The sequence below is a fragment of the Homo sapiens genome, chromosome 6 (assembly GCF_000001405.40).
Source record: "Homo sapiens chromosome 6, GRCh38.p14 Primary Assembly".
NCBI lineage: Eukaryota > Metazoa > Chordata > Mammalia > Primates > Hominidae > Homo > Homo sapiens.
This window is the reverse complement of record NC_000006.12, coordinates 107,461,515-107,467,514: the sequence shown is the minus strand read 5'-3', so window position 1 is coordinate 107,467,514 and position 6,000 is coordinate 107,461,515.

Below are 6,000 nucleotides of genomic sequence, written 5' to 3'. Positions count from 1 at the left end.
CTTCATTTTTAACTTAAAACTAACAAACTACTGTTAAATGACATATTTTTAAGAATACATATATTATTAAATTATATTTTTGAAAAGTGATGGAATGACAAATACAAGATTTGGGATAAAGATTTATTTGGTAAGTAAGGGGAAAGGGATGGAGAAAGGTCACATAGATAGAAGTAAGCTATGATCAATATTCTAGTTCTTGTGTTAGTGGCAGGTTCACTTTATGTATTAAATTATAAAAAGATTAATAGATAATTGTATCAGTAATTTACTGCAGCATAATAAGTTACCTAATAATTTAGTAACTTAAATATACTTCTTTTAACATACTTCTTTCATCTATTTTTCCCTTCCTGAAGTGTCTTAAAGCACATTCCTGGCATTGTGTTATTTTATCCCTATATACATTAGTATCCATCACTTAAAAATATGAACATTTTCTTATAGACTCACATGTACAATTAATAAGTCTTTTGCAATACCTAGTGTATGAAAACTATATTCAAATTTCTTTGAGTGTCTCAAAACTTACATTTAACAGTTAGTTAGAATGAGAATCCAAACAAGGTCTACACATTACACTTGGTTTGCTCTGCCTCTTAAAATCTTTCAACCTAGGGGAGTCCCTTTACTCCCTTCTTCCTCCCTTGTCCTGTTGAAGAGACCCAGGCAGTTGGCTTGCAGACTATCCCATAGGCTGGATTTGTCCATTGGCTTCCTTGTTATGCCATTTTACTTATTTCTACCTCTCCTATGTTTCTAGAAGATTGGAAGTTAGTCCTCAAGACTTGATGAGATTTAGATTCAACTGTTTTGGCTAAAATATTTCTTAGGTGGTGGTATGTATTTCATAAAGCACCATATCAGGAGGCACATATGGGTGGACTCCCCACTCATAGTGACACTGAGATTGATTAATAGTTACAGGTGGTGTTAGCCTGAGACCTTCATTGCAGGGTTCCCTATCAGCCTTCCATTTTGATAATTGTTGCCTAAATCAACTAATTCATGAGGAATTGTAAAATGGTGATTTCCTAATTCTATTACTTCTCTTTTATTTGACGTAATTATTTTTATAAAGTAGAACTTTCCTTCATCAATCTGGGACATCTGATTACCCCATTAGAAGTGGTTTGTTCCCTGTTTCTCATCCTCTCAGCCCACCTTTTACTAAAGCCATTGATGCAGCAACCTGCTTCCTGCAGGTGTAACCTGAGAGCATCTCTCCTCATCTGCATTGCATACATCTCAATTTCTGTCCCTGAGTTCCTCTGACACTATAAAGAAGGGACATTTGCCTAGCACTCACACATGACAGCTTAGAAGTATGAGGGGGCTCAGGCCCCAAGGAGGAAACTTGGACCAATGGAAGAAGGGAGCTAATAAGTAACTGCTCTCTTCTTGCATCAAGCTGACAATTATGAAGTATATTCTACATGGCTCAAGGCCTCATTGCCCACAGTGATGACAAACTAGAGAACACCCTTGTACTGACTCTCTCTGTTTCACTCTCCCTAGTCATCCACTTCTGCTTCCTGAGATCACTGTCCAAAATAAACTACCTAAAAAGTCAGCCCTTGTCTTAGGTTCAACTTTCAAGGGGGTAAGCCAGGCTAAGACATCACTAAATATAATTCACACAGGAAAGACAGGATAAATGCTCAATTCTTTTATTACATTGCAAATATTCAGAGTATTGTCCCAGTTACAGCTAATAATAAACTCATCGATTTATATGTAATCAATGAATTCCAATCAGTTGTAGTTCTTACTTTTTTGGGTAAGATTGTCCTCTTTTCAGCCAGTGGGAGCTCCTTTATGCTGATCCCTTTGTGCCTCTGACCTGTCCCTTTGGACTTTAATAGCTTCCTTGATTTCTGGCACAAGATGTTCAAGCTTCATCATACACATTTCTTGCCCCAGACAAAAATCTGCCATATCTCCAAAGAGCCTCATTTCTTTTCAACGGAAATGATGTTTTTTAAAGTAGAATGTGGCCAGGCGTGGTGGCTCACGCCTGTAATCCCAGCACTTTGGGAGGCTGAGGCAGGCAGATCACTTGAGGTCAGGAGTTCGAGACCAGTCTGGCCAACATGGCAAAATCCTATCTCTACTAAAAATATAAAAAAAATTGACAAATGGGATCTAATTAAACTAAAGAGCTTCTGCACAGCAGAAGAAACTACCATCAGAGTGAACAGGCAACCTACAAAATGGGAGAAAATTTTCACAACCTACTCATCTGACAAAGGGCTAATATCCAGAATCTACAATGAACTCAAACAAATTTACAAGAAAAAAACAAACAACCCCATCAAAAAGTGGGTGAAGGAGATGAACAGACACTTCTCAAAAGAAGACATTTATGCAGCCAAAAAAACACATGAAAAAATGCTCATCATCACTGGCCATCAGAGAAATGCAAATCAAAACCACAATGAGATACCATCTCACACCAGTTAGAATGGCGATCATTAAAAAGTCAGGAAACAACAGGTGCTGGAGAGGATGTGGAGAAATAGGAACACTTTTACACTGTTGGTGGGACTGTAAACTAGTTCAACCATTGTAGAAGTCAGTGTGGCGATTCCTCAGGGATCTAGAACTAGAAATACCATTTGACCCAGCCATCCCATTACTGGGTATATACCCAAAGGATTATAAATCATGCTGCTATAAAGACACATGCACACGTATGTTTATTGTGGCACTATTCACAATAGCAAAGACTTGGAACCAACCCAAATGTCCAACAACGATAGACTGGATTAAGAAAATGTGGCACATATACACCATGGAATACTATGCAGCCATAAAAAAGGATGAGTTCATGTCCTTTGTAGGGACATGGATGAAGCTGGAAACCATCATTCTCAGCTATCGCAAGGACAAAAAACCAAACACCGCATGTTCTCACTCATAGGTGGGAACTGAAAAATGAGAACACATGGACACAAGAAGGGGAACATCACACTCCGGGGCCTGTTGTGGGGTGGGGGGAGCGGGGAGGGATAGCATTAGGAGATATACCTAATGCTAAATGACGAGTTAGTGGGTACAGCACACCAACATGGCACATGTATACATATGTAACAAACCTGTACATTGTGCACATGTACCCTAAAACTTAAAGTATAGTAATAATAAAATTAAAAAAAATTAAAAAAAAAACACAGCTATGAATTGCGAGTGGCAGAAGAACATACAGAGAGGACCAGTCAGAAAGAAGGTCTGCATTTGAAATTCCACCCAGCACCTGGTCATTCTGTGCTTCTGGAGGCAACTGATGGAGCCTTCTCAGGGTATGTGGTGAATGCATAATTATAAAATACATAAGATAACCAAGAAAACAATTAAACTGGAAGTGTTTTCAAAATATAAAACATTCTAAATTTGTAAAATATATATATATTATATATATTTTATATATATATATATAAAATATATATATATAAATTAGCTGGGTGTGGTGGCACACACCTGTAGTCCCAGCTGCTCAGGAGGCTAAGGCATGCTAATCATTTGAACTCAGGAGGCTGAGGTTGTGGTGAGCTGAAATTGCGCCACTGCACTCCAGCCTGGGTGACAGAGAGAGACTGTGTCTCAAAAAAAAAAAAAAAAAAAGAATGTGAATGCTAAAGATGCTTATTACTACAAAATTGTCATTACTTCTAGGCCTTTCCAAGGGACAAAGGAAGTAAAATGCTTTTTTTCCCCTAATAATTCTTACTGGGATATAAGAAAAACATTTTTTAAAAAGAAAAGAATCATAAGTTCATATTCTTTCTAATTCAACTTTAATATTACATGGATTCTACTTACTCTGAAAATCACTGTTCCTAAAAACTCTAGTAATTTTTACCTATATATACATGAATAGTTTGAAAGTACTATAATAGTATCTGTATTTCAACCACCAATAAGACTATTGACTAAAGCTTAAGATATCTTTGTAGTTCTATTTATCCTGAGCATATATTCTGATTGTACAGTGAAAACAATATTTTCTAAAGTAATTAAAGTGTTTACTTGGTATGGTTATGCCACCAACTTAATATACAGTTAGATTATTTGTTTTCAAATTTTAGGAATTGCATTTTTCTTTCGGATTTGAAATTATTTTGAAAATGTAAAACATATACATGATTCTAAAATCAAAACCATATAGCCAAGGCTTATTCAGAGTAGTCTAGCTTCCACGCCTGTCTCCTCCACCTGTTTCCTCCTATTCCAAATATATGCAAATACTCATTTGTAGTTTAGCTATCTTACAAAAAAAAAGCACATATACTGTTCTGCACTTTGGTTTTTTTTTTTTTTTACACTAATATATATTCGGAGATCATTTCACCTCAGTGTAAAGAAATGGCCCTCGTTCTTTTTCACAGTTGCATAGTTTCATTGTGTAGATCTACTCGAGTTTGTTCAACCAATCTCTTATTTGGGGTTATCTGGATTGTTTCCAATCTTTTGCTATTACAAATAATACTGCAATGAATAACCTTGTGCTTAAGTCATTATTTGGGATATTTTCCTAGAATTGGGTTTCTAGGGCAAAGGGCAATATATATGTAATTTTGCTGAGGATTATCAAATTCCCTTCCATAGCTGCCATGTACCATTTTGCATTCTCAATGGCACTATGTGGCATCTCCATAGCCTGCTAACCAAGTAGGTGGTCAAACTTTTGGATTTTTGCCTCCTTTTATCATCTTTGCCCAAGATACACCACGACGCTTTCATCTGCCTTTGGAAGAACTCTCTCAGGATAAACAATAGGTGATTGTATTGAGGGTGACATAAGGAGGGTGGCTGCAATATCTCTATCTATTTCCACTCACCTAATCATGGAAATGCCAGCGCCCACAGCACTATCCTTGTTAAGAGCTTGTATTTTCCAAGGCTGGCTCGGGTTTCCAGCCAAAGAAAAGGACATCAAATATGACCTTACTTCTTTCTAAGGTCAGTAGAATGCAGAGTGCCCAGTGAGTTCTACTGGTATAAGCTTCAGAATCCTGAAAAAGGTAGAGGAGGAACTGTGATCATTTTTTGTCAGCGTGCTGTCTCCAAAACAACTCCGATGCCAAGGGGAAGTCCCTGAGTGTGGCTGAAAGTTTCCATAGGTTGTGGAGTGACCACTCTCTAACCTGCAGGGCTACTCACACCCAGGACTTCTTTTTTGCTGCTTTGTAGGAGTAAATGTCATGGATGGACACTGTTTTTTTCTTTCAGCATCTCCCATTTCCCAGTGGGCAATTTTGCACTCCAGGGTGACAGACATTTGGTAATGTTTGGAGACATACCTCGTTGTCACAACTTGGAAAGGGGTGCTGCTTAACATCTAGTACGTAGAGGTCAGGAATGCTACTCAACACCGTACAATACTCAGGACTGCCCCCCTTCCCCCAACAAAGAATTATCTGGTCCAAAACGCCAAAAATGCCAAGGCTGAGAAATCCTGCTGTATTCTTTCTTTATGCACACATTCACAGACATCTTTAATATAACTATTATCAGTGGCAGAGGAAGGGCAGAATCACAGATACTCCCCCTCCCTGTTTCTCCAAAAGTCACTAGCAATTCAGAAATTTCTTTAATCATAAAGACTCTAAGGAATTATATATTTATCTGGGAGATTAAAGAACAAATACCATTTTAACCTTCTAAAAACTGATTATCATTAAGTATAATGCAACCTTTTAACTGTAAGTATAAAGGAAAATGCTGATTATTTAAAGTAAATGGGACCCAAAGTCCCATGAATAATCAAAAACTTGGTTAATAGAGTATGACCAGAGAATAATGCACTTGGCTTCTGTGGAGAAATTAAAGTACATGCTGTGAATTGCTATTGAGGAAATTGCGTGAAAAGTTACCCTTAAGGTACCATGAGGCTGAAGAAACAGCCTCAGGTGCACAATATATCACATTAGTCTCTATCTATCTTTGTATTTTCATGACTTCTTTCACCTTGGATAACCCAGAAGCTCTGGCCTTGGA